The 27,709-nt window shown below is 53.9% G+C and overlaps 1 protein-coding gene across 5 annotated transcripts, besides 5 other annotated features; it reads right to left on the bottom strand.

Annotated features, from left to right (window-relative positions):
• AIF1L (allograft inflammatory factor 1 like) lies at positions 204-26,817 on the bottom strand. Of its 5 annotated transcripts, NM_001185095.2 has the most exons (7): positions 26,688-26,817; positions 26,485-26,546; positions 17,083-17,160; positions 11,685-11,751; positions 8,730-8,771; positions 5,430-5,592; positions 204-3,113 (listed from the first exon to the last, which is right to left on the bottom strand). In NM_001185095.2, the coding sequence occupies exons 1-7, from the start codon at positions 26,716-26,718 to the stop codon at positions 3,026-3,028; spliced, it is 531 nt and encodes a 176-aa protein (NP_001172024.1). In that variant the 5' UTR covers positions 26,719-26,817; the 3' UTR covers positions 204-3,025. The 5 variants fall into 5 exon arrangements, 4 of the variants coding, with proteins under 4 accessions (NP_001172024.1, NP_113614.1, NP_001172025.1 ...); NR_033701.2 differs by lacking the exon at positions 17,083-17,160 and having other exon boundaries at positions 26,485-26,568; NM_031426.4 differs by lacking the exon at positions 17,083-17,160.
• Positions 12,789-13,468: an enhancer, noted in NCBI's record as "NANOG-H3K27ac-H3K4me1 hESC enhancer chr9:133985267-133985946 (GRCh37/hg19 assembly coordinates)". NCBI's record gives its function as "activates a minimal SCP1, AML or CMV promoter by ChIP-STARR-seq in primed H9 embryonic stem cells {active_cell/tissue: H9 hESC(primed)}" and the evidence as "EXISTENCE:reporter gene assay evidence [ECO:0000049][PMID:30033119]".
• Positions 14,675-15,174: an enhancer, noted in NCBI's record as "H3K27ac hESC enhancer chr9:133983561-133984060 (GRCh37/hg19 assembly coordinates)". NCBI's record gives its function as "activates a minimal SCP1, AML or CMV promoter by ChIP-STARR-seq in naive H9 embryonic stem cells {active_cell/tissue: H9 hESC(naive)}" and the evidence as "EXISTENCE:reporter gene assay evidence [ECO:0000049][PMID:30033119]".
• Positions 20,077-20,996: an enhancer, noted in NCBI's record as "H3K27ac-H3K4me1 hESC enhancer chr9:133977739-133978658 (GRCh37/hg19 assembly coordinates)". NCBI's record gives its function as "activates a minimal SCP1, AML or CMV promoter by ChIP-STARR-seq in primed H9 embryonic stem cells {active_cell/tissue: H9 hESC(primed)}" and the evidence as "EXISTENCE:reporter gene assay evidence [ECO:0000049][PMID:30033119]".
• Positions 21,262-21,812: an enhancer, noted in NCBI's record as "H3K27ac hESC enhancer chr9:133976923-133977473 (GRCh37/hg19 assembly coordinates)". NCBI's record gives its function as "activates a minimal SCP1, AML or CMV promoter by ChIP-STARR-seq in naive H9 embryonic stem cells {active_cell/tissue: H9 hESC(naive)}" and the evidence as "EXISTENCE:reporter gene assay evidence [ECO:0000049][PMID:30033119]".
• Positions 25,981-26,480: an enhancer, noted in NCBI's record as "H3K27ac hESC enhancer chr9:133972255-133972754 (GRCh37/hg19 assembly coordinates)". NCBI's record gives its function as "activates a minimal SCP1, AML or CMV promoter by ChIP-STARR-seq in naive H9 embryonic stem cells {active_cell/tissue: H9 hESC(naive)}" and the evidence as "EXISTENCE:reporter gene assay evidence [ECO:0000049][PMID:30033119]".
• Positions 26,818-27,709: the final 892 nt, after the last annotated feature.

Genomic DNA, 27,709 nt, shown 5'->3' with positions numbered 1-27,709 from the left:
CTTATTCAAGCCTACTTTTCAGTTGTGAAACAAGGATGACATAATAGAACCTGTCTCTTGCAGGGAGGTGGTTAGGATAAGTGAATTTCAGCTGTCTCAGACAAAAGGCACAGGACATGCTCATTTAATCTCTTACTATATTAGCTAGTTCGCAATTTGCTGAGCCCAGAACCAGCCCCAAAATACACCAATCAAGACGTTGGTAAGTTTGTCTGGTTTATTTGCAGGCTGTAGAGATGATATCCCAGTCCACGCACACTCCCATGCACACGCACACACATACTTCATCCACCTGAATTTGCCCGACAAACCCTCCTCTGAGTCATAGGGACAAAGCCATACTTGGCAGTCCTCACGTTACTGGTTACATTAGATTTGGTCTTTCAGAAAGAAGATGGTTGAAGTCCCAAGAAGCTGAGCCCTTAGCCAGAGAAGTAAGAGTCCTAGAACCAAGAGCCACAACCTGAAATAGATGCAGACTGCCCCCGCCCTCCTTCCAGGGACAACTCTTGAGACCCTCTCCTCCCAGGAGTTGAGTCTCAAGAAATGAAGGGACTGATGGGGTTTCCCAGGACACACGAGCCCCCACCCCCATTCAATGAGAAAACCCTCTCTTCTGCCATTTCCAGAAGCTGGGGCCACACCTGCTTGCTCTCCTCCCTTAAGGAGAATTCCTGCAGTCTTGTAGAACTGTGGAACTTACTGAAATAAGCCTGACTGGTTCTGCCTTCCTCTCTGAGTGAGGAACAGGGACACTGAATATGATGGGTAGTGAAGGAAGGCTTTATCTTCCTCAAAGGTCCCAGCCTGTCCCAGAGAGGAGAGGCAGTGAGGAGGGGTGAGGACATCTAATGATCTTGGGGAAAAAAAAAACAAAAAACAGGGCAGGGTGGGGGTAGAAGTAGGATTTTCCATTTACAGGGAGGAATGTTTTGCTGGGGTTTAAACTTCAACTAGGCCTGTGTGCATTTGAAGCAGATCCTTGAGCTCAAGATCAGCCAGTCATGGCCAAATAACCTCATTCCTGAACTGGTTGAAACCAGTGGGTTAACCCAACCTGGCCATTTCCTCATGCCTTACCTGTTTTCCTCCCTCAATCTGCTATCAGAGGTGACTAAGGAGCCGCAGGGAACCCACGTTGGCTCCAACCACCAAGACCTCCCAGTCCTGTCCACTTAAGGTGTTGCAAAGGCTCTGCCAAGACTCTCACCCAGTCTTGGGCCCATCTAGGCCCCCAGGACTGCAGGGAAGTCACCCCATACCTCCCCCTTCCTAACATTTATCTCATTGTCATTGTCTGGGTCTCACTTTCCTATTGGACTCTAAGTTCCATGAATCTGTCCATTTCATTATTGGATTCTTAACTGTTGGCCTACAGCAAGTGCTTAATAAATATGTTCAGTGAATAACTGTCTCAGTCCTGAGCAGGTAGGGTAAGAGACTTCAGAACACAGGTGGGGTTAAGGCTGAACACCCTGATCAGCCAAGATGGGGCTGACTTTGACATCTTCCTGCATGAATTACAAGAGGCAGCTTCAGAGGCCTGGTCTTTGCCCTAAGCCTGATGCTGACTTGAAGGCATGGGAGAGGGCGAATCCTGGACCAGGGTCTTCAGAGCAAGTGAAACCCTCTCCAAGTGTTGACCTTGGAGGCTGTCTCTTCCCAGCCCTTCCCTGTTCTCATAACTAACTAAGGCAGCCCACACTGGAAATGAGGTGTAGGCAGGGTCCCTGAACATCTGGGCCCCAGTCCAGGGCACCTCCCTCTGGAGATAAGCCTGACCTTGGGCAAGGCACTTAATCCCTGTGGGGCACCAGTCTCCTCACCTGTGAAATGAGAAGTCTGGCCCAGCTACCCTCCAGGGTGCATTAGGGTTCTAAAATCCTGCGAGTCCATAAGAAAGGACACAGGTGACCCCAGTTCAATTCCCAAGCTCAAGGTTCTGAGAGATCTGGGGAGAGATGAGTTAGACCGTGTATACTGCACATGCCAGGACAACATGGGAGGATGTAAAGCTTATAATAGCAGGTCAATAAATATCTGGTGAATGAGTGAGTCAATGAGTGAATTATGTGAGTAGGGTAGGAAGACAAATGAGAGAAGCAGAGTCAGGTTTCAAGCAGATTGGGGTCAGACAAGCAACCTTGTATTTCTCAGTCTTGGCTTACCAGTGCTGCTGACTTTGCCGTGAGCATTTTACTCCTCATTCTCCCATCCTGGTCCCCTCAGTAACCTCCCTAAAAGGTGGAACAGCACTGAGCTGACCTTTCCCCCAAAACCCCAGGCCTCACTTCTGCCTCCGAAGCCCTCTGCTGCCCCAGTAAGGGACAGTAGGGCTGCACGCTGCCTCTCAGCTGCCTGCACAGGTGTGGCCAGAGAGCAGGACTGGAGGGTTCCTTCTGGTACCTTCTTGAAGGGCTCCCAATGCCAAGCTCCTTTCCTTCCCACCTTCACATCACTGAGGATGAGAAGAGGTGTGGAATGAGTGGGGATCAGCTGGGGCAGCGGGGCCCCGAGTGGCTGTGTCCTGGGTGACACCAGAGCACTGGAGCCATGGCACTGTCCAAGGAAACCCGAAAGAGGCCCTGCAGCCTTGTCCCTACTCCAAGGTCTTCTCAGAGTGGCCTGGGGTCCTCGTCAGAGCCAGGTCAGTGAGCCTGAACTTGGCTTGGAGACTTTCTGAAAGGATGGAGAGTGCTGGTTCCTCCAAGTGAGGGGAACACAGGCTGGAAGCCTCCCTGCCCTGGCCCTGCCCCCTCTAGTTTTTGGTTTGATGTCAGCCCTTCTGCACAGGGAGCGGGGAAGGAGGGAAGAAGAGAGGGAGGGGACCCAAGGCTCAGGATTCCCCGACCCAGAGCCCCTTTAAGGCAGATAATTTGTGCTTTACAAAGACATTGATGAAAACACAAACAAACCCTCAATGACCAAACAAATGAGAGAGAGAGAGATCACAGTGTGTCAAGAAGGGCAGCAAGATCGGGAGGGAGGTATGGGGTGGGAAGGCTGGGGAGTCCAGGCGGGGTCCTCAGGGCAGGCTAGCAATGTCTCTCTCTGGAGGGGGGCCAACTGGCTTGGGGCTGCTCTCGTTGGCTTTTCCTTCAAACATCATGACTCTGGTTTGGAGATGGAGAAAAGAAAAAAAGAAAGAAAAACAAGATTAGGATCCTTCCCTCATCCAGGGAAAGATCATCCCAGCCTCATGTCAGCAGGGTCCTCAACAGAATTTAAATCTGTTCTCCAGTGGGATCCTTGCAGAAGCCCAAGACAGCAGCTCCAAGGAAGGGGCTGCTAGTCCCATTTTACAGAGGAGAAAATGGAGGCGCAAAGTGGTGATATGACTCCTCAGAACCACACAGGCGGTCCAGGGCAGAGGCTGGGTACGACTCCAGGCTTCTGACTTCCAGGCCATACCCTTCCCTTAACCACACTGCCTGGAGGAGGCTGAGCCAGGCTGGGCCACGCCTCTGCGCAAAGATCTTCAAAAACCTGCCCACTGCTCTGAGAGTGGTGTCTGGGGAGTAGAGGGTAGGGGCTCAGCGTATAACCTCTAGGGCAACTGCCTAGATTCAAATGCCAGCCCTGCTACTTCCCAGCCGGGTGGCTCAAGCAAGACACTTGACCTCTCTGATCCTTGGCGTTTCTCCCTGGAAGTGGGGTGCTAGAAGATCTGGCCAGATTGGACCGTGGGCTCATGGGCCAGGTACTCAGTCTCCTTGGGCCTCAACAAGCTCCTTTGTAAAATGAGACAGGTATATTTTACATTCGTACTTTAAAAAAGTGAATCTTATTTCATAAAAGCCAAGTAAGTGTTATTTTCTGTTTTCTTTTTTTTTTTTTTTTTCTTTTGAGACAGAGTTTTGTTCTTGCCGCCCAGGCTGGAGGGCAATGTCACGATCTCTGCTCACTGCAACCTCCGCCTCCTGGGCTCAAGTGATTCTCCTGCCTCAGCCTCCCGAGTAGCCAGGATTACAGGCGTGAGCCACAACACCCAGCTAATTTTTGTATTTTTAGTAGAAACGGGGTTTCACCATGTTGACCAGGCTAGTCTCGAACTCCTGACCTCAGGTGATCCACCGGCCTCAGCCTCCCGAAGCGCTGGGATTAAAGGCGTGAGCCAGGGCACCTGGCAGAGTGTTATTTTCAGCTGTGACAAATGACAATGAGACTGCCCTGGGGCAATGCTGTAACGCTCTTCAATGGGGCAGCACCCACAATGTGCTACCACGTAGTAGGTGTTTGCCATCAGCCACACAAGGCTGAAATCTTCATAAGTGTCATTTCACTAGCCCTCAGGACATCACGGAAGACATGATTATCACCCCTATTTTATAGATGAAGAAACTGAGACTCGCAGACCTAAGGTAACTTGCCCAGGGTCATTTTGGTAGCAAGTAATAGCATCAAGATGCAAACCCTGCCTCCCTTTGGGGCCAATTTTTGACTCTATTTTATGCTTACAAGCCTGTGGGGGTAGTGGAGGTGCTTTACAAATGGGGAAACTGCCAGGCATGGTGGCTCACGCCTGTAATCCTAGCACTTTGGGAGGCCGAGGGGGTCTGATCTCTTGGAAGTCAGGAGTTTGAGACCAACCTGGCCAACATGGCGAAACCCCATTTCTACTAAAAATACAAAAATTAGTTGGGTGTGGTGGCGCACACCTGTAATCCTGGCTACTCGGGAGGCTGAGGCAGGAGAATCACTTGAGCTCAGGAGGCGGAGGTTGCAGTGAGCTGAGATCATGTCACTGCACTCCAGCCTGGGTGACAGAGCGAGATCTCAAAAAGAAAAAAAAAAAAAAGGAAAACTAAGGCTCGGAAAGTTTCAACAGATTTATCACCATTATCACCATCACCACCATCATCATCATCACAGTTGCCACTTACTGAGTACTGATTCTGCCTGACTCTGCTACAAGCTAATTTCCCCTACAGGGTACATATTAATATGACCATTTGGGCCGGGTGTGGTGGCTCACGCCTATAATCCTAACATTTTGGGAGGCTGAGGAGGGCAGATTACCTGAGGTCAGGAGTTTGAGACTAGCCTGGCCAACATGGCAAAACCCCGTCTCTTCTAAAAATACAAAAATTAGCCAAGCATAGTGGTGCATGCCTGTAATCTCAGCTACTAGGGAGGCTGAGGCAGAAGAATCACTTGAACCCAGGAGGCGGAGGTTGCAGTGAGCCAAGATCACACCACTGCACTCCAGCCTGGGCAATAGAGTAAGACTCCATCTCAAAAGAAAAAAAAACAAACAAACAATTGACAGATAAGGAAATCAGGATCAGGAGAAGTAAGTACCTTGTCCAGCAGGTCGCACAATGAGTTACCTACTAGGTGGGGAATGGCTGGGGTGCCCAGAGCCAGGGGCCTCTCTGCACAGAATGATTTTGCCTTCAGAGATCCCAAGGGAGGAAGGAGGTACTCACAACTTGAGGACAGCCGACCGTTTCCCCAGCATCATGTTCACAAAGTCTCGGTAGGATATAGTGTCACTGACCCCTCCTGTCACCTCTGAGATCATCTTCTTCATCTCCAGGTGGGTCTTGGGGACACCAAGCTTCTCCATCATCCTCTTTAAAGACATCAGGTCTGCCGGGGGAAAAGCAGATCTGTTAAGTGGAGATGGGCTGCTGGGGCTTAGCAGGGAAGCTGGGAAAGCTCCACTCAGGCACCCCACGCCTAGAAACTTGGCGTCTGCACTCCTTCTCTAGGGAGGAGGAGCCCATCACGCCCTCCCTGCTCTCTTTGGAGGCCGTATAGGCTAGTGGTTAGTGACCTGGGCTTCTAGAGTCAGACGGGCTTGCATTGGAATCGAGCTCTGCTATTCCTGGCTCTGGGATCTGGGGCACACTACTTAACCTCTCTGAACCCCTGCTCCCACCAACGGTGGAACGGGTGGATGGGATCATTCAGGGATCTCTGTGCAGGAAGCACCGGCCCAGAGCACTTTCTTCACACCATGACTGTGGGCTCTGCTATTTCCTGCAGTTAGGGTGGGCTGGGTGCCCACTCTCCTGCTGCCTGGGGAGTTATGCCCAGTGTGGCAGGGTCAGGAAGTCAGGCATTGAAAGTAACTCTGCTGGGTGCCGAGTGGCAGGTGGCTTCTCCCCACGTGCCACTCCTGTCCTGCTGTCCTAGGGCTCTGCCCCGGCTGGAAGGGAGAGGATGCCAAAAATATCCCACAGAGCAGGAAAACCAACAAAAGAACAAAATTCAAGAAAAACAAGGGAGGCCCCAGAATGTCACTCCAGCCCGAGGCGGTGCTGTCTCTGACCGCCCAGCTCCCACCAAGATCTGAGGCAATTTCCTTTGGATTGTTCTCCAGTGAACAATGGGTCATCTAAGGATGGCAGGAGAGGGCTGGGGTAGGGGCCATGGGCCGTGGCGCAGCCAATGCTCCTCCTGGCAAGGCGGGCGGGACTGGGGCCAGGCCCAAAGGTGCCAGGATGTCCACGCATTCAGAGAGAGCTGGGCAGCCTTCTCCAGGAAAGGGGGAAAGGGCTGCACACGCACTGCCAGACTCTGAAGTTGGCAGGACCTTTCTCGGGCAGTTCGGCAAGATGCTTCAAAAGCCTTTGACCCAGTGTCCCCTTCCTGAGATTTCCTCTACAGAAATAACCAGGGAGGTGAACAAGCACTCATGTACAAAGAGGTTCTTTACAGGATTATCAATAATAGTTAAAATTGGAAGGCATCCAAATGGTCCACACAAAGGCATCGGCTAAACAAATTAGAATCCATTCCTACAATGCAGCCATTAACTATATTTCAAAAGAAAAATCAGCTGGCGCCATGGCTCATGCCTGTAATCCCAGCACTTTGGGACGACGAGGCAGGCGGATCACTTGAGGCCAGGAGTTTGAGTCCAGCCTGGCCAACATGGTGAAACCTCGTCTCTACTAAAAATACGAAAATTAGCCGGGCGTGGTGGTGCGTGCCTGTAATCTCAGCTACTTGGGAGGCTGAGGCAGGAGAACCGCTTGAACCTGGGAGGCTGAGGATGCAGTGAGCCAAGATTGTGCCACTGCACTCCAGCCTGGGCAACAGAATGAGACTATGTCTCAAAAAAAGAAAGAAAAATCAATAATAAATCAAAATACTCACCATTGTTTTATTTCACTTATTTTTTCTGGCCGGGCTGACCAATAGAAAGTTATTTTTTTCAAGGAGGCTCAAAAATGATATAAAACAGCTTTTGTGATTAGAATAAAGAGTGGAAGGCTAGAAACGGAAATGTTTGTAGCAGTTACTTCTGGGAGGTGGGGTTGTGGGTGATGCATTTTTGTCTTTTTGTCTTGCTGTGTTTCCCCAATTTTTTTAATGATGAAAATGTGTTTATTTGATAAGCCAAATTTTTTTTTTTTTTTTTTGAGACGAAGTCTTGCTCTTGTCCCCTAGGCTGGAGTGCAATGGTGCAATCTGGGCTCACTGCAACCTCCACCTCCTGGGTTAAAGCAATTCTCCTGCCTCAGCCTCCCGAGTAGCTGGGATTACAGGCATCTGCCACCATGCCCGGCTAATTTTTGCATTTTTAGTAAAGATGGGGTTTCACCATGTTGCCCAGGCTGGTCTCGAACTCCTGATCTCATGTGATCCGCCCGCCTTGGCCTCCCAAAGTGCTGGGATTACAGGCGTGAGACACTGTGCCTGGCCAAATTTTCTTTCTAAAGAAAAAAAAAAATGATCAAAATATTCTAAAGGGAGAAGAAAAGAGAGAGGACAGAGGAAGAGGAGTAGAAATGCCGGTAGCAGCATCAATCTGAGACGCAGGATGAAATGGAAAAGGGGGAAACTGTTCAGAAACCAACGGCTGGGCCCTGGTTCACTGCCAGTGTTCCATGTAAGCAAGTCATTTCACCTTTCTTTTTGCTTTTTTTTTTTTTTTTTTTTTTTTTGAGACAGAATCTCGCTCTGTCACCCAGGCTGGAGTGCAGTGGCACAATCTTGGCTCACTGCAACCTCCGCCTCCTGGGTTCAAGCAGTTCTCCTGCCTCAGCCTCCCGAGTAGCTGGGATTACAGGCACCCGCCACCACACCCAGCTAATTTTTGTATTTTTAGTAGAGATGGGATTTCGTCATGTTGGCCAGGCTGGTCTTGAACTCCTGACCTCAGGTGATCCCCACGCCTTGGCCTCCCAAAGTGCTGGGATTACAGGCTTGAGCCATGGCGCCCGGCCCATTTCACCTTTCTGAGTCTTGCTTTCCTCATCTGTAAAATGGGGATAATTAAACCAGCCTTAACCACTTCTTTGCGGGTGAGGTCCAGGTATGGTCTCCTACCAGAACGTAAGTGCCAGTAGCTGCACAGCAGGATGCAATAAGGAGAGAATCAACGTATATAAAAGCAACTTGTCAACTGCCGAATGACATACAATGGAAAGACAGACTTCAGGGCCACTGAAATGCCAGCCAGGAGGCCCAGGGCCTGTCCACCCTGAGTGTCTCCAGCCCTGGGCAGGTGTGGCACCCTCTGTCCTGAGTCCCCGTAGCACCTGGGGTGGGAGGCTGAGGTGTGGGTGGGGAGGGAAGCAGTAGGGGATCAAAGGGTCTGGAGGAGTCTGAGGGCAGTGGTGCCAGGGCAGAAGGCAAGGGGCTGGGGCTGGCTCGGCGCAACATATTCACCAGCCTTCCGGACTGCCCCATGCCCCTCACCCGCACAGAGGGTCCCTCAAGCCCTCTACCCACTTAACACCCTCCTCCCTAAACACACTCAAGGCTTCACTCACCAATCTCGCCTTCATTGTTCAGGTCAAACTCCATGTACTTCTCTGGAAATCACAGAGCAAAAACTAGCATTAGTTTGGAAGCAGCGTCTCCCTGTGGGGACCCAGTGGCTCCCTTGTGGGCAAATGACCGTGTCCTCAGGAGTCTGAACCACCTCCCGCACCCTACCAAGGGTCTTGACCTGAGTCCCCCATCCGCTGAGCCATGGCCTCTGGGGAAAGAGCTCATCCTGCCTGGACTACTCTCCTAGAGGTGCCACGAGGGAAAGATGGCTGGGGGCCACTCTGACCCTCTTACCAGGAGGGCAGCTGCTTTCTCCCGGGTCCCCAGCAGCACAGACCAGCTGCATCTGAGTTAGTAGCAAAGTGACTAGCTCTGATTCCCTGCCCCAGGATTCTGGCTCATGGGTGTGGAAGGACAGGGTGGGGGCAGGCATGGGTGTGCTTTTTAGCGTCCCAGGCAGTTCTGATGGGCAACCGGGTGTGGGAACCACTGATTCAGGGGACCTGTGATTCTGAAACCAGGAAAAAGGCCTGCCCTAGCCCACAAAGTGGACATACAGTTTCCCGGGGTACACAGACCATCACCCCAAACCTCACACACAGACTGAGTTATACTTCCCTGATCAAGGAGTCCAGGAAAACTTCTAGCAGTGAGGGAGGATGTCGGAGCAGTGGGCTTGGTATGTTCAGATGGGAGCAGTGTGTCAAACGGACCGTGGGGCCTCTGCAGGTCACCCCCTGCCCGGGCAGAGTGGGGCCCTCATGGTCCATCCTGCCCCACAAGCAGCCAGCAGAGAAAGCCGAGGCCCTCCTGCAGGCTGTGCTGCCCCCGCCCACTCCCTGCCTGCTCCAGCTCGCTGCCCCTCTGCCTGGAATGTTCTCCCAAGTATTCTCAGCACCCTTCCTCATGGCTTCAGGGCTCCCCACCCTTTCTTTTTCTTCTTTTTTTTAGAAGGAGTCTTGCTCCATCTCACTTTGTCACACAAGCTGAAGTGTAGTGGCGTGATCTCAGGGGGGATACACAGCTCACCTAGGGCAGAGTTGGGACTTGAACCCATGTTAGTCTGGCTCCAAAGCCCCCGTTCTTAACCATTATGCTTTTTTTTTTTTTTTTTTTTTTTGAGATGGAGTCTCATTCTGTCACCAAGGCTTGAGTGCAGTGGCTTGATCTCAGCTCACTGCAACCTCTGCCTCCTGGGTTCAAGCAATCCTCCTGTCTCAGCCTCCCGAGTAGCTGGCATTACAGGCACCCACCACCACATACAGCTAATTTTTGTATTTTTAATAGAGATGGGGTTTCGCCATGTTGGCCGGGCTGGTCTTGGACTCCCGACCTCAGGTGATCCACCCACCTCGGCCTCCCAAAGTGCTGGGATTACAGGTGTGAGCCACCGTGCCTGGCCTCCCCACCCTTTCAAAATTGCACCCCCTCCCCACAGCTGAGCACTCCTGTCCTCCCTCCCTCATTTCTCACTGAAGCACCTACCACAGTCTGCTAACCTTGTATTTCCCGGCTCTCTGTTTAGTCTCCCACCACCTCTCACACCGCCCCCCGAGCGAGAACACAGGCTCCCGGGTGGGAGCTGCCTTTTACGTTCACCATGGTGCCCCTGGCCTGGAATGGTCCTGGCACATGTACAGGTGCGCATTTGGAGAACAAATGAGTGAATGATGTAACTTCCTGTCTGGCCCAACATTCCAGTGAAGACAAGTAGAAAGGGTGCCAGAGCCCTGAGACCCGTGCCTCCTCCCAGAGCCACCCCTGGGAGTGGCCACGCTGGTATGCAGACAGAAGGGAATAGACTGCTCTCTTTTTCACAGCTCTCCTACAGGTGGCTGGGATGGGGTGGGGTCAGGAGTGTCTTTTACTATTTCCCTTCTCTCTTCTTCATGTAAAAAGCATCATAGCGTAACAGTTGAGAGCAGGGGCTTTGGAGCCAGACCGACATGAGTTCAAGTCCCAACTCTGCCCTAGGCGAGCTATGTGTCCCCATGCCAACAACCCCGCCCTCCAAGCCCGAGTTTCTCCATCTGCACATTAACAAGTGCGCCATCTTCCTCCAGGCCGATTGGGGTGATGTGGGGAGCTCGCCACGCCGCACGAGAAGTGCTTCACACAGGCCGACGTCCAACAAATGCCAGCTGTTATTAATATGATTAGCCCTAGATGTCCAGCCTAAGGACAACTGGAAGTGATTTGAGGAACACTTGGCCAAGTTCTTTGCCCTGGAGCCGGGAGGATGCTCACACTGCAAACACTTTGGAGGGGAATGCAACCTCCAGGATATTTTCCATGACAGCCCAGGGCTCCTGCGCCTAAGTGCCTCCCCTGGCAGGGAAGGTGGGTCTGCGCTGCCCCCTATGTGCCCGGCTCCTCTCCTTTCGAGGTGCTGGCTGGGAACCAAGCGCCAGGGCCCCAAACAGAGGGACCTTTATGCTGCCCCTCTCCCCGCGCCGGCTCCCAGGCCCTGCTTTCTTTTCATCCCGTGCTGCCGGGTTTCAATGGGCAGAAACTCTGCCCCCCTGCCCCACTGCGGTGACACAAACGTCCATTCTCCGCAGGGGCTCCTGAGACGCTCTGCTGGGGAGGGGGAGAGGCAAGGCTTGCTCACAAAGAGCTGATTGTGTGCGGGGCCCGGGAGTGACGGGGCCTGGGCAGCGGCGGACGGGAACCAGCCTGAGCCCCGTGGGCAGTGAGGGGAGAGAGAGGGGCAGGGCCAGGACCGGGCTGCAGGCGAGGGGTGACGGGGCCCGCAGGGGCAGGGAGGCAGGTGGAGGGGCCTCTCCCCACCTCTCAGGGGGTCCCTGTCTCCAAGCCTTCTCCAGGAAGAAGGGCATTCTGGACAAAACAGGGCCACAGCCTAGTCCTGTGGGGCTGAGGGGTCCTGTGTGCAAGGATGAGGGGCCAGCCCACCTCCCCCAGGAATAAATGCAGGGCAGCCCGCCCCAGCTTACCTTTGAAGGCTGTGAGCTTTTCTGGAAGGTTCTCTTCATCACTGTACTTCTGGTCACACAGAAACTCCTACAGAGGTGAGAGGACAGTGCTGAGCAAGGGACTGGGGACAGAAGTCACCCACACATGGGCCCACTGTCCGGGGGCCTTCCCTCCTATCGGGTAACCAGGTGCGACCAGACCCAGTTTGTCCCTTGTTCACCCCGGCTTCCTGTCGCCCCTTGGAGGCAGATCTGCACTGGCCACCCTGTGGGTAGGAAGTTTGCCCAGCAGCTTGGGGAGGCCCCAGAGGGTTCACTACGGGTGACTAAGCCCTCCAGCCAGCAGCTACATTACCAATGCTGGGACCCGTGCCCCTCCCCCAAGACACCCCAGCTTCAGATCCGAGAAGCTGTGAGCTCCAAAGACAAGCCCCTGGTTCCATCATTAACTTCTTAGGAATGTGATCCTGAGCTCATTCATTCCTCCGTGCACTTTTTTTTTTTTTTTTTTAAGAAGTCTTGCTCTTGTCCCCCAGGCTGGTGTGCAATGGCGCGATCTCAGCTCACTGCAACCTCCACCTCCTGGGTTCAAGCGATTCTCCTGCCTCAGCCTCCCCAGTAGCTGGGATTACAGGCGCCTGCCACCATGCCCAGCTAATTTTTGTATTTTTAGTAGAGACGGGGTTTCACCATGTTGGCCAGGCTGGTCTCGAACTCCTGACCTCAGTTGATCCCCCCGCTCCCACCCCTCCGCCTCAGACTCCCAAAGTGCTGGGATTACAGGTGTGAGCCACCGCGCCCGGCCCTCCCCACACTTCTATTGCCTTATCTACCAAATGAGAATCATGATCTGCTTCTTGAGTTTGTATAGAAATCCAGTGAGGCCAGGTGCGGCGGTTCACGCCTGTAATCCCAGCATTTTGGGAGGCCAAGGTGGGCCGATCACCTGAGGTCAGGGGCTCGAGACCAGCCTGGCCAACATAGTGAAACCCCGTCTCTATAAAAATACAAAAATTAGTTGGGCATAGAGGTGGGCACCTGTGATCCCAGCTACTTGGGAGGCTGAGGCAGGAGAATAGCTTAAACCTGGGAGGTGGAGGTTGCAGTGAGCTGAGATCATGCCACTGTACTCCAGCCTGGGAGACAGAGAGAGACTCCATCTTAAAAAAAAAAAAAAAAGAAAAGAAAAAAGAAATCCAGTGAGAGTGTGAATTCGTCGTCTCTGCTCTAACGGGAAAATGACTGTACACTTACCCTCTCACCTGTTTCCTCACCTGTAAAATGGGGGTTTTAATCTCTGGCCTGCCTTCCCTTCAGATGCTTGGAGAGACTCAAATGAGTCCTTTCAGGACCAGATGGGCAGGGTGGGGAGGATTGGACACTAACAATGGCCTCCAGGGTGAAGCCCTTACCTATGTGATCTCTTCACATCTCCTAGGAGTCCCAAGAGGGAGCTATTGTTATTATTATTTTGAAACAGGGTCTTGCTCTGTCATCCAGGCTGGAATGCAGTGATGCAATCTCAGCTCACTGTAACCTCCGCCTCCCGATCTCAAGTGATCCTCCCACCTCAGCCTCCTGAGTAGCTGGGACTACAGATGGGCGCCACACCACGGCTGGCTTATTTTTGTATTTTTTGTAGAGACAGGGTTTCACTCTGTTGCCCAGGCTGGTCCCAAACTCCTGGACTCAAGTGATCTGCCCGCCTCGGCCTCCCAAAGTGCTGGGATTACAGGTGTGAGCCACGGCGCCCGGCCAGTAGCTACTATTATTATACCCATTTTGCAGGTGAGGAAACTGAGGCTCATAAGCCAGAGCTTCAACTCGGCTCCATCTCATTTGGAGCCTGCATCCTTAGCCCCTACATTCTTTAAAGGTGGGCAGATTGCAGGTGTTCATCTGGCCTGGTCTCTGACCTTACAGCAAAAAGCGACCAATGAGGGAACACCTGCCAGATACAGTGCCAGGTAACTTATGTATCTTGCGGCTAATCTTTCAGCAGCCCTGGAACCTGTATTCAGATGGGGAAGCACAGGGCCTGTTCCCCTCCTACCACTCGAACTCTGCAAATAACCCCTCTTCTTTGGAGCTTCCATTCTTTTTTTGTTTTTGTTTTTGTTTTTTTGAGACGGAGTCTCGCTCTTGTCACCCAGGCTGGAGTCCAGTGGCGCAATGTTGGCTCACTGCAACCTCTGCCTCTCAGGTTCAAATGATTCTTGTGCCTCAGCCTCCCAAGTAGCTGGGACTACAGGAGTGTGCCACCATGCTCGGCTAATTTTTGTATTTTTAGTAGAGACGGGATTTTACCATGTTGGCCAGGCTGGTCTTGAACTCCTGGCCTCATGTGATCCGCCCACCTCGACCTCCCAAAGTGCTGGGATTACAGGTGTGAGCCACTGAGCCCGGCCAGTGGACCTTCCATTCTTCATTACTGAGCTCACTGGACATGGACATTGCTCCTTCATTCATTCATTCATTCATTCATTCACTCATTCAACATTCTGGGGGGACACAGTGCACACAGCACTCACTGTGCTAGCATCAAGGGAGCAGAGGAGACCATGGTGAATATGACAAGGTCCTTATCCTGAAATTACAGAAAGCTGGTGTTTAAAATGATGTGCAATGTCACCCACATTAATCACTTGACCTACTTCCTAATACATGATGGCCAAGTCTGTTCTTACATATCTCTTAGGACAGAGAACTCACTACCTTCCTAGTCTATTGTTGCAAACTCCTAAGAGGCTTCAAGCAGAATAGAGGATGACAAGAACTAACTGACTATAAAGCAATCTGGGTTTGGATCTCAGTCTCCCTTTTTACTAGCTCTAAAATAGGTTCAATAGTACCCACTCCTTGGGCACTGGGCTCATAGTTCAGCTCTCAATGAGCAACAGATAAGATTATGAGTATGAGGCAGAATATGGCCTCTTCTATGGCTCAAATTTCTCCACATTAACTCAGCACCCCTTGACCACAGGAGAAACCTACCTGGCAACAGGGCTTCCCTCACTGGGTTGGGAGAGGGGTCTGGCTGTCCTGTAGCTTTTGGTAAAACATTGGCTGTAGCAGACACTGTGCTATCTCACTAAATCCTCACAGCCACTATTATTCCCATTTTACAAGTTAAAACATGAGGATGAGAGGGGTTAAATACCACATCTAAAGTCCATAGACAGGCCAAACGCAGTGAGTGGCTCACGTCTGTAATCCCAGCACTTTGGGAGGCCGAGGTGAGCAAATCCCTTGAGGTCAGGAGCTCAAGAACAGCCTGGCCAACATGGTGAAACCCTGTCTCTACTAAAAGTCCAAAAATTAGCCGGGCATGGGGGCGTGTGCCTGTAATCCCAGCTACTTGGGAGGCTGAGGCAGGAGAATCACTTGCACCTGGGAAGTGGAGGTTGCCGGGAGCCGAGATTGTGCCACTGCATTCCAGCCCGGGCCACAGACTCCATCTCAAAAAAAAAAAAAAAAAAAAAAAGGTTCACAGACAGCTAAGGAAGGTTGGTTTCGAACCTGGGTCTATCTGACTCCAGGACCTGTGTCCTCCTGCACCTGGGCAGAGGGCAGTCCCAGGGCCTATGGGGTCTTGCTGGCTTGGCCACAGCCTCACTCCAGGCCTCATTGCAATGCACTGGGCACGGCCCCGCCTCCACTTAGCTGACGCTGGATCCTTCTTCGGCAGCCTGGGAGGCCGCCCTCCTCCTAGTTGGCTCTGTCGAGGACTTCCTTTCCTCTTGGCTCCCTCTCATAGCTCTTCGGCACTGCTCCCTCACCCCATCCTCTGCCCAAAAGGAGGACAATTAACTTTTGTCTGTGACTGTGAGCAAACCAGGCACCTCCCAGGGTCCCAGATCCCATATCTGCCCAGTGAAGGGACATATTAGATCAGTGATTCCCAGACTTTGGGGTCACGCAGACATGAAACATTTTTAAAGGCGGGGCAGAGGGGCGCACTAATATACGAGTGCCAACTTTTTATTTTGCCAAGTAAAGACTTTTTAAACAATGGCCATTGACTGTTGCCATGAGTTCAGAAAAGAACATTTCATAAAAGTAGGAAGTTCACCATCTCTGAATGTTTAAATGGAATCCATTCAGCCTAGGTCCAACTCACCACAGTGACCCTGCATTTCCTTCACTTTACCAAGAACTAGAGAACCTTCCTGGGGAGGCACAAGAGCACCAACATCTGGGAACCTCTGGGGAGAGATTTGGAGGGGCTGTCCCAGCCCCTGGGGTCTGGTTGACCAGAAATCCTGCCTCAGCCTGGACCGACCAGCCCTAGAGATCCAGTTTTACTTGGGCCACTCTGTAGGTGGATGGGTGCAAGTGGAAGGACATGGTCCCTGGCCTTAGAGACAAATTGCACACAGACAGACACAGACCAACCAGGCAGGGATGAAGAGCAAGGCCACGTGCACAGCATGAACGGCAGCAGTGGTTGGGAAGATTGCCCTGGGCTGCACCCTGCACTAGCTGTGCACCCTGCCTGGAGTCCACAGATCTGCGTGGTTCTCTCCCTCACCAACTTCAAGCCTTTGCTCAATGTCACCTTGTCTTTTTTGTTTTGTTTTATTTTTGTTTTTTGGGACGGAGTCTCACTCTGTCGCCAGGCTGGAGTGCAGTGGCGCGATCTCAGCTCACTGCAACTTCCCCCTCCCGAGTTCAAGCAATTCTCCTGCCTCAGCCTCCCCAGTAGCTGGGACTACAGGTGCGCACCAACACGTCCAGCTAATTTTTGTTTTAGTAGAGATGCGGTTTCACCATATGGAGCAGTTCGGTCTCAAATTCCTGACCTCAGGTGATCCGACTGCCTCGGCCTCCCAAATTCCTGGCATCACAGGCGTGAGCCACCACACCCAGCCTCAATGTCACCTTCTCAATGCGGCCGAATGTCACCTTCTCAATGCGGCCGACCCTATTTATTCTTTGTTGGCACGATCACAGCTCACTGCAGCCTCGACCTGCCTGGGCTCAAACAATCCTCCCACCTCAGCCCTCCAGAGCAGCTAGAACTACGGGTGTATGCCACCACACCCAGCTAATGTTTGTATTTTTTGTAGAGATGGGGTCTCCCTCTGTTGCCCAGGCTGGTCTTAAACTCCTGGGCTCAAGTGATCTGCCTGCCTCGGCCTCCCAAAGTGCTAGGATTATAGGTGTGAGCCACCATGCCCAGCCCTGTCCACCCTGTTTTATACTGCTGCCTGCCCACTTCAGCTGCCCCGACTTCCAATCGCCCTTATCCAGCTCCTTAGGATGGGTCACCTCCAAACATGATTTCCACTGCCACTGCTTACTGAGGTTACTACACCCTCTCTGCCTCCCCGGCTAGAATGTAGGTTCCACATAGCAGACGCTCAATAAACATGTGCAGGATGAGTGGAGGAGTTGAGACTCAGGTTAACTAACTTGCCTGAAACAGCAGAGCCAGCAAGCAGCTGTGCTGGGAACATGAAATCCTCTGTAGCTGCGGCTCCCTCCCTGCACAGTACTGAGGAGGAAGTGGGTATCAGGAGGCAGCTCGGAGGAGGCAGGGCCCCAGCCACAGGTTTAGCGTCGAAGTGCCCAGCATATCGTAGACACTCAATAAACATCTGTTGAGGAGCCCGAGGAGGGAGGATCACTTGAGGCCAGAAGTTTGAAGTCAGCCTGAGCAACATAGGGAGATCCCATCTCTACAAAAAATTAAAAAATTAGCTGGGTGTGGTGGTGCGTGCCTGTAGTCCCAGCTACTTGGGAGGCTGAGGCTGGAGGATCACTTGAATCCAGGAGGTGAAGGCTGCAATGAGCTTTGACTGCACCACTGCACTCCAGCCAGACCCTGTCTCTAAAAAAAAAAAAAAAGCAACAACAACAACAACAAAACATCCATTGAATGAATGGACAGGCCTGCCATTCGGTCCATTATTTTCTCCATCCTCACCCCTGCAACGATCAGGCAGCTTTGCAAAAGTGTGTGCCCACGCATGACAGAGGCTGGAGGGGCTTAGGGTTTGGAATCCTATTTTTCCTTAGAGCCAAAAATGACAAATGCAGCCCAGTGTGGTGGTTCACGCCTGTAATCCCAGCACTTTGAGAGGCCAAGGCAGGCGGATCACCTGAGGTCAGGAGTTCAAGACCAGCCTGGCCAACATGGTGAAATCCTGTCTCTACTAAAAACCACACGTACCTGTAATCCCAGCTATACTTGGGAGGCTGAGGCAGGAGAATTGTCTGAACCCGGAATGTGCAGGTTGCAGTGAGCTGAGATCGCGCCACTGCACTCCAGCCTGGGCCACACAGTGAGACTTTGTCTTAAAAAACAAAACAAAACAAAACATGACAAATGCTTGGGCCACAAGTGACCAGGGTGGGAGAGGCAGCTGAGCTCCTCATGTGTGGGCAGCCCTCACTGGCTCTGGGATTAGGGCAGCTGTGCTGACCATGCCTGGGTAGGGGATGGGGGAGCCCGGCGGGCAGTGGCAGGAACAGGACTCCACCAGCCAGGCTGCCACGCCTGCTCCACCTCTGAGCTTTGGATTCTTGGTTCCTGCTCATGTACCACCCACAGCTCCCTCCCTGCAGGCATCCTCCCCCCGTCCCTGCCAAAGGCACAGGTACCCTGTCTTTCCAGGACCCCTGGCTGCCCTGACCCTGGGTCCATAGGCAGAGGAGACAGAGATAGAAGCCACCCCAGGTGTTTGGAAGAAAAGCAAAATAAAGAAAAAAAAAAGGCAGACTGGAGCCAGAATGCCTGAGTTTGAATCCACTTCATGGCTGCATGAATTTTTTTTTTTTTTTTGAGACAGAGTCTCGCTCTGTTGCCCAGGCTGGAGTGCAGTGGCACAATCATAGCCCACTGCAACCTCAACCTCCTGGGCCCAAGCAGTCCGCCCATCTCAGCATCCCAAAGTGCTGGGATTACAAGTATGAGCCACCGCACCCGGCCAGCAAATACTAAATAAATGTTAGCTGTTTATTATTTTTTTCTAATACTTATGCCCATACAATCAGCTTATAACCTCCATAGACCCTCACAGACTATTCAGCAGATTAGGAAGGAGGCCCCCTCCCCGTGGAGTAGGCCAGTTATGATTTCTCTCTCCTCTTTCCAGGTATCCCCATTTGACAGATGGGACAACTGAGGCCCAGAGAGGTTGCTCAACTTGCTCAGGATTGCCAAGTTTTAGCAATTCAAGGTCTATGCCTGCCCCAAACAAGAAGGTAGCCTGGCTGCAGGTTTCTGGGCAAAGAAAGTCAATACTGGGAGTTACCTTTCCTCTTCGGCAGCTGCAGGAGGTTATTCCAGAGGCCAGGGAACCACTTTATAGCCCTCCAGGGAGATGTGGGGGTAGGTGGTTTATTCTATCCCCTATCCTCCTCACACAATCTAACCCACTGTCCCCAAAGACAAGTTTTCCCGGCTGCAGAAAGTAGAAAGTGCTGGGGTGGGGGAGCAGGTGTGAGAAGTGCAGGGGGCCTCTGGGCCCTGAAAGTGGCTATTGACATGCAGAGGGGCAGGCCTGGAGGCCACAGTGGCCTGATCAGTCCCTAGCAAAGGGCCAGGAAATGCAAGCGGGCAGGAGCTGGGGGGTGACACACAGGCAGCTGAGCCCACTTTTCAGTCCCCGGGGACCAGAGCATCCAAGGCTGGGGCCTGGGAGGTGGCAGAGCTGTTAAATTATCCACCCAGCCACAGAACCAGAAGGGACTCCTCACAGCGTTCAGCTTGCCCTCCTTGTTCAATAGCTGGGGAAACCGAGGTGCCGGAAGGGACAGGCCTTGCCCAAGTTCACAACAGTTGAAAACGTCACATCATCTCTCTGAGCCCAGGGTGTGTAGGACATAGGGGATAACTTGCCAGGGTTGCCATTCCAGCTTTAGCACATACTAGCTCTGTGGCTCTGGGCAGGGCAACTTTACCTGTTTACCACTCTAGGCCTCAGTCTCTTCATCTATAAAGTGGGCTTATCTATCAAATGGGATCATAATGATATGCAGAACCTCCTCACTGAGTTGCTGTAAGGAATTTTTTTGTTTGTTTGTTTTGTTTTGAGTCAGGGTCTTGCTCCATTCCCAAGCCTAAAGTGCAGTGGCACGATCTGCAGGATCACTGCAGCCTCAACCTCACAGACTCAAGCTATCCTCCTGCCTTAGTGCCTGGCCTGCGGTAAGGATTAAACGAGCTAATTGCACAGAAGGAGCCTGGCTCCTAGTACACTTGCTAAGTGTTCAAAATTATTATTATGTCTTAGGATCATCCAAACTCAAGCCACATCGAGAGGCAGGTGTGTGTGCGGGGGAAGGGCAGGGAAAGAACATCACCCACCGACCATGCTGTGCTCCTCCGTGATGCCCTGAAGTCCTCCTGGCAAGTCTTGGCCCACTGGCCATCCCTCAAGGGCAAGTTTTGCTTTGTCCTCAGCCCCCGGCTGACCTGGCAGTGATGGGCCATCCAACCTGCCTGAACCCTCCCATCTCAGTCCCCAATAGCATCTGTTCACTGCCGCCTTTCCTGGTCACCTACAGCCTCTGATGCTCGCCAGAGTCCCCCAAGCCCATCCCAGCCTCCAGCGAGGCCCCCAAGTGCTATGCCCAGGAGGGGCTGTTTCCAAACCCATCAGAAGCTGGCAGCCCCTGCCGTGCCTGTCCTCAGAAGCCCTCCCACCTGCCTGCTCCTCGCTGACTTAACTCTCTTTCTGGGCTGGTACCTCTAGCACCTTCTGGCGAACCCTTGCTCCTGGCCCTCCAGGCTTGTCTTTCTGTATCAGCTGCAGCAGAATTTTGGGGTGGGCGGATATCACCATCTTGGAGGCCATCCAAGGGGCTGGTGGCTCAGGCCTTGGACAAGAACTCCAAGGACAGGAAGCACCATGCCGGGGCGTAGGACCTCTGACGCAGCCCACAGGCTCTTAAAGGGCCAGGGCCAGGCCACAAGTGGTGCTGGCACCTGGTGAGTAGCAGAAGCCTGTAATGTGCACCCACAAGGACAGCGGGTTCACATTCCCCACTGCAGCCCTGGGCCTCATTCAGATGCCGCATCCTCGCCAACAGATGGGGCAGCTAAAGAAAAACTCCCAAGCAGCTATGCAATAAAGCACACCCTGCAGAAATTCCATCTCCAGCTTCCTGTGACACGGCCACACCAAGGTCATAACTGGTTGGACCTGCAGGGGACACTGAATCCTCAGAGGCTCACGTGGCCACTTATCACCATCTCCCTTATAATATATTAAGGAAGAGCAAGAGAGGTGGGTGCCCAGCAATGCCAGCTGCATACATTCGCCTGGGCAGGGACAGAGTGGCACTGCCAGGTACATAGGAAAAAAGACACACCTGCATACTTGCCTGGGTCAGGTCTCAGAGGCCCCCCATTGCTGGGGGAAGGGCAGGGGATATATACACCCCTGGGCAGAGATACCCAGCCTACCCTGCCCAGCTGCCTTCCCAGTGCAGATGACATGTGGCTTCTGAAAAAAACATCAGGGGCCAGGTGCAGTGGCTCATACCTGCAATCCCAGCACTTTGGGAGGCCAAGGCGGGTGGATCACTTGAGGTCAGGAGTTCGAGACCAGCCTGGCCAACATGGTGAAACCCTGTCTCTACTAAAAATACAAAAATTAGCCGTGGTGGTGGGCACTTGTAATCCCAGCTACTCGGGAGGCTGTGGCAGGGGAATCGCTTGAACTTGGGTGGCAGAGGTTGCAGTGAGCCGAGATCATGCCACTGCACTCCAGCCTGGGTGACAGAGTGAGACTCTGTCTCAAAATGAAAAACAGCGAAACAAAACAAAAAACCATCAGGTACCTAAATGTGACAGGGAATGCTGAGTGCCCTTCATTCGACCCAGGAGGGCTGGACCATTGGGACAGTAGCCAGAGATCCTTATCGATATAAGCAAGAGAGGCCTGTGTCATAGCTAGGCTGCAGCCACCTGGTGACAGGGGCCAGGGTGACTGGGTTTGAATCCCAGATCTGCCACTTCCTGGCTGGGTGACCTTGCAGGTGACTTCATCTAGCTAAGCCTGTTTCCTCATCTCTAAAATGGAAGTCAAGGCCCGGCACAGTGATGTATGCCTGTAATCTCAGCACTCTGGGAGGCCAAGGTGGGCAGATTGCTTAAGCTTAGGAGTTCGAGACCAGCCTGGGCAACATGGTGAAACCTTGTCTCCACAAAAAAAAAAAATTAGCTTGGCGTGGTGGTGCACGCCTATAGTCCCAGCTACTCAGGAGGCTGAAGTGCAAGGATCACCTAAGCCCAGGAGGTCAAGACTGCAGTGAGCCGAGATCACACCACTGCACTTCAGCCTGGGCAACCCAGTGAGACCCTGTCTCAAAAAAAAAGGAGTCATGATAATCCTTATCCCATGGGGCTGTCTGCAGATTCTCACTGTGCATCTGTCTGCTGGGGTGCCCTGTTGCGGGGTCAGCGAGATGATGAATGTCAATCTGTGGGCATGGAGCACAGCCACAGCTCGTTACTGTGTTGAAGATCTCACCTGTTGGCCGGGTGTGGTGGTTCACACCTGTAATCCCAGCACTTTGGGAGGCCGAGGGGGGCGGATCACGAGGTCAGGGGTTTGAGACCAGCCTGACCAATATGGTGAAACCCCGTCTCTACTAAAAATACAAAAATTAGCCGGGCGTGGTGGTGCGCGCCTATAGTTCCAGCTACTTGGGAGGCTGAGGCAGAAGAATCGCGTAAACTTAGGGGGTGGAGGTTGCAGTGAGCCGAGATCACGCCACTGCACTCCACCCTGGGTGACAGAGCGAGACGCCGTCTCAAAAAAAGAAAGAAAGAAAAAAGACCTCACTTGCTAGCCAGCTCATGTGGCAGCCCTCACTGTCCCCTGAGCGCCTCCTGCTAAGTCCCAGGGCACAGCCACCCTGAGGGGCAGCGCCCCCAGCCCCACTCCTGCTTCTCTCTGTCCCTGTGGGAAGCTGGAGAAAATCTCTCCCATTGCCATATAAGGCCATGCCTGGCTGGCCTGGGGTCACCAACCATGCCATCAGGGCTCGGGGAATGCCAGCTATGTAGGGGGAGTAGGAGGTGCTGGCCAGTTCTGCCCACTCCAGTAGTGCTGCTATGTACACACGTGCGTGCACATACAAACACACAGCAAATGGAGCTGGGGGTGGACACGCAGCAGGAGGCCCAGCCAAGCTGAGCGATTGAGAAAATAGGCTGGGTTCAAGTCGAGGCTGTTTAAACCCAGGCAGTTTACCCAGCCTCTCTGAGTCTCGTTTTCTCAAAAATGGGAGCAACAATACTCCCTGGGTTAGAGAGAGCATTCGCAAGATAATGCCCACAGTGCACCTGGCACAGGACGGGCACATACCAAGTGTTCAGAAAACTACAGCAAAAACTAAAGTGAAACCAAAAAGAGGTGCATTTTCATGCGGCTCCCCCACCTCCCTTCCTCTACTGGGATTTCTAGGCCCATTAGAGTCTCCTATTTTTACTCTTGAATCCCTTATAATAACAATAGCTAAGGCAGGGTATGGGGGCACATGCCTGTAGTCCCAGCTACTTGAGAGGATGAGATGGAAGATTGCTTGAGCTGGGGAGGTAGAGGCTGCAATGAGCTGAGATTGGGCCACTGCACCCCAGCCTGGGCAACAGAGTGAGACCCTGTCTCTGTTAACAACAGCAACAACAAAAAGCTAAATTTGGGCGGGGTGGGGTGGCTCACGCCTGTAATCCTAGCACTTTGGAAGGCTGAGGCGGGCAGATCACCTGAGGTCAGGAGTTCGAGACCAGCCTGACCAACACGGTGAAACCCTGTCTCTACTAAAAACACAAAGATTAGCTGGGCGTGGTGGCAAGCGCCTGTAGTCCCAGTTACTCGGGAGGCTGAGGCAGGAGAATCGCTTGAACCCGAGAGGCGGAGGTTGCAGTGAACTGAGATCACGCCACTGCACTCCAGCCTGGGTGACAGAGACTCTGTCTAAAAAAAAAAAAAAAAAAAAGCTAAGGCTGAGCTACCCTGCCCCTCTGGAAGCTGGCCTACACCAAGGGAGGAGAAAGGCCCCAAAGGGAACTAGGTATCGGCCCAGAGAAGCCCCTAGATCTGCCAGCCAAGCTGGGCTGTGCCCCAGGCAGCAGCCATGGCGGTGCCCAAGCTGCCTGGCACAGAAGCAGGGCTTTGGCAGTGAATCCTGGGCTTAGCCCAGGCCCCCAGAATCCACACTCCAGTGGGGCAGTGAAGCTGCACCCCAAAGGAAGGCAGTCCGGGCTGCCAGCACAATTCTGCCTACAATCCACCTAGCTCAGGCCCTCTGCACTGCCCCCATGGCCGTGGGTGAACCAATTCAGACTCTCACACAGAGTGACTCCCCCACAGTCTGCAAAGAGCTTCCATCCACTTCCATCGGTTAATTGTTGCAGGGACTCCAGAGGGGCAGAGATCCCTGCTCCCATTTCAGGCTGGGGAAGACGAGGTTCTGCTGGGCTGAGCAACCAGCATGAGCCAGGGCGGAGTATCTTCCACTCCCTGCACCTTGAGGCCACGAACAAAGAAACTGTCCTGATAGCTATCAGGGCCGCAGCCAGCTCTCCTGGGTGCTTTACATAGATTGTCTCACTGAAAAAATCACAACCATTATCTTTTTGGAGAAGGAGGCTCAGAGAGGTGAGTGGCTTGCCCAGAGTCACAGATCAGTGCTTGTGGGTACCTCATGACTAAACTGGTGGGGCCACCCTGCTCCACTGTGGTGAAGCAGCTCAAGCTTCCCGTGTGATCCTGGCGCCTCCTTCCTACAGGGCCCCAGATCCTGGGCCTCAGCAGCCCTACAGCGGCTGGGCTGTCATGGTGGGTCTCAGTACAGCGTCTTGGCAGGGGAAGGACGCTGGGCTGCAAGCTCTGTCACTGGCTTCTGCGTGGCCTTGGGTCAGCTGCTTGCCCTCTCTGGGCGCTGTCCTGAGGTGGTTAGACCACAGCTCCTTCCTGCTCACTTTCCCTAGTCCCAGTGCTGCCCAGATCAGCCCCTGACAGCTGTTAAAGTCCCTCCTCTTTCTAAGCCAAGCTAGTCGGTTTCCCAAAACAACCCTGGAGCCGCCCCCTCCCCCAACCCACCTCCCCAAGGGCTAGGTTGGCCCCGCCCTCTTAGCTCTTCTGGCTTGTCCAACCATGGTCACCTCACCCCCATCTCCAGCTGTCTGTGGCTCAGGGTCCCGCTGGCTGTGGGTGGCTCCAGCCAGCTCAGAACCCGCCTGGCCAAGTGACCCAGGGGGCTATATGAGGTCGGGGTTCCAGCCTTCTGTCCAGAGGGCTAGAGCAGCCAAGCCCCAGGCTGGGCAGGCACACAGTGATCTGGGAAGGAGCCCAGCAGGGATCCGAGACCCCTGAGCACCCCAGCCAGATGTCCGGGCAACCTTCCAGTTGTGCTCAAGATGCCCCCAGGAAGCAGGGTGAGGGTGGCGGTGAGGAGGCCGGAGCTTACCTGGAGGGGGAACCCTGAGGTCCCCAGAGCCCTGTAGCTGGGGACCGAATGGGAGTCCTGTAGCCAGCGGATGGAAAACAGACAGGCTGCCTACATCCAAGCAGTCCAAGAAAACCAAGGGGGAATCAAGGCTGCACACTGCTGGCAAGAGGCAATACCACAACCTGGCCCCAGGCTCGGACCCGCCTCCCACAGCCTTCTCGGGCTCTGCTGACCTCACCAGCGGCCCACTTCCAGACTGTCAGCTGGGCTTAGACCCTGGGTGTCCAGGGGACCAGAGGAGCCTGCAGGGGGAATGCCAAGCCTTGTTTCAGCGGGCGTGCCTCTGCCACCAGTTAAGAAGGAAACTGGGAGACATCCACCTCAGGAAATAATGCTAGTTCTGTGAGTGCTTCCTGAATGCTGGGTGCTGGGCCATGCAGGCCACGGGCCTTCCCTCTCTGAGCCTGCACAATGCCCTGCTTGGAGATGAGAGGCCCTTTGCTGAGGACCACAGAGCTGGCACACAGTGGAGGCCAGATCTGAGCCCAGGTCTTGCAGAACTTTAAAGCCACTGGCTGTGCTGCCTTTGAGCTTTGGCCAACCCAGACAGGTCCTGATATCTTTCCTTATCTTCTAGAATCTATGTAAATTTATGGAGCTCTCACTGGATGCCTGGCAACAACAGGAAAGATTTCTTTTGAGAAATCCACCAGGACCAGCAAGAAAAGCATTGAATCCCTTAAGGCAATCTTTCCTGAAAGTTGGAGTGAAGAGGAGTGGTGTGTTTGAGGGAGGCGGGAGGCTGGAGACCACGGGGAAGTGCCAGGATCTCTACGCCCATCAGAGTCTTCTATTTGTACTTTTGAATCCCTTATAACAACAATAGCTAAGGCCAGGCGTGGGGGCACATGCCTGTAGTCCCAGCTACTCGGGAGGATGAGGAGGGAGGACCGTTTGAATCCCAAAGGTGGAGGCTGCAATGAGCTGAGATTGGGCCACCGAACTCCAGCCTGGGCGACAGACCAGCAAATGACCCGGAGCCTGTGTTCTGAGCTGGAGAGATCACTGGCCTAGGGCCCTTCCCGCGCCAAATCCTTGGGCTGCTCCCAAGCGGGCTTGCGGGGAGCCACGAGCCGGCTGGCATCCGAGCTCCTGACCCGGCCCCACCTCCCCAGTCCCCAGTTGCAAGAGTAACAACTTGCAACCCGAGACCGGAGGCGGGAGGCGGAGGCGGACCTACCTGGAGTCGGAGGCGACGGGGCTGGGGGCGGAGGGAGGCACCTGAGGGAAGCCCAGGGGAAGGGAAGGAAGAGGGTAGATCTGGAGGCGGGCACGGCCTCGCGGAAGGAGAGGTGGCACCCGCGCAGCGCGCGGCTCGGGACTCGCGTGCTGCCCTGGGCGCGGGGCTTACCCGGTTGATCTCGGCCAGCCTCCTCTCCTGCCGGGCTTTGAGCAAGCCGAACGCCTTCCCTCCTGGAGGAGACAAAGAGGCGGCCTGGGAAGCGGGGTCCTCTTCGGGCCACGCGCCCCCGTCCCCGCCCGCTTCCCGCGCGCGGTGGACCCCGCGGTCCGCCCGGCGCGCACAGGTGGCTGCTCGGGGACGGCGGCGCCTACCTTGGAACCTGTTGCTGAGCTCGCCCGACATGGCGAGCGCGGGGCTCCCGCCGGCTCCAGGCTTCGCGGACGCGGCGAGGGACGAGGAGGAGGCACAGGCGCCTGGTCCGGGCTCCGGCTAGCTGCGTGTGGCCGCGGGACCGAGGGGCGGAGGAACGGCGCGGGCGGCCGACACACCCCTCCCTCCGCTGCCGGCCCCTCCCTCCCTCCCTCCCGCCTCGCCCCTCCCCTCCCGCCTCTCCCCTCCCCTCCCGCCTCTCCCCTCCCCTCCCGCCACCCGCTCCGCGGGCTTCAAAGCGGCTATTATGCGGGACGCTGAGCCCGCCGGCCGACCCCTCTGCTGGAGGACGCGGAAAGTGCAAAGCGCGGGGCGGCCGCACCCCTCCTCTCTGCCCCTCCCCGGACCTCAGCAAGTCCCTGCCACACAAATGAAATGCGAGGATCTTAGCATGAACTCCATGGGGTGGTTGTGAGGACCAAGTGCCGTCGGGGAGTCGGCGCTCAAACATCACTGCTGCCTTTGGGGCAGTGCGGCTGCTGTGACAACAGTGGCCCGTCAAATCAATTGGAATGAATTCGTGTCTTGTTAATAAAAGAGATTTCTTGGGCACTCACAGGCACTTTGCACCGTACACCAGTCATTTCATTCTCAAAACTCCATGAAATAGGACTTGGCATTCCCATTTCCAGAAGAGAAAAGTCAGGAAGCTGGAGCTGGGGCGCAAGGCCACCAGGAGGAAAGACCAGCCCATGACTCCAGGAAGAGCGGAGCTCAGGATGCAGGATAGGGTACCTGTGGCCAGGGTGACCATGAAGTCTAGTGTCCAAATCAGGACAGCCAGAGTCAAGGGAGCACTCCTCATAATGATGCTGGGCCACAGGCATAGACAGGCGCTGTCCAGGGCAGGCAGCGCTAGGAATGGCCCCACCGTGCATCTGACTCCTAGGGTAGGGACCCTGAGATCATCTTTCTTATTTATTTATTTTTTTCGAGGCAGAGTCTTGCTCTGTTGCCCAGAGCT

Source organism: Homo sapiens, chromosome 9 (assembly GCF_000001405.40).
Source record: "Homo sapiens chromosome 9, GRCh38.p14 Primary Assembly".
Classification (NCBI taxonomy): domain Eukaryota; kingdom Metazoa; phylum Chordata; class Mammalia; order Primates; family Hominidae; genus Homo; species Homo sapiens.
The sequence above is the reverse complement of the archived record's forward strand: the minus strand, read 5'-3'. Positions and strand labels throughout refer to the sequence as shown.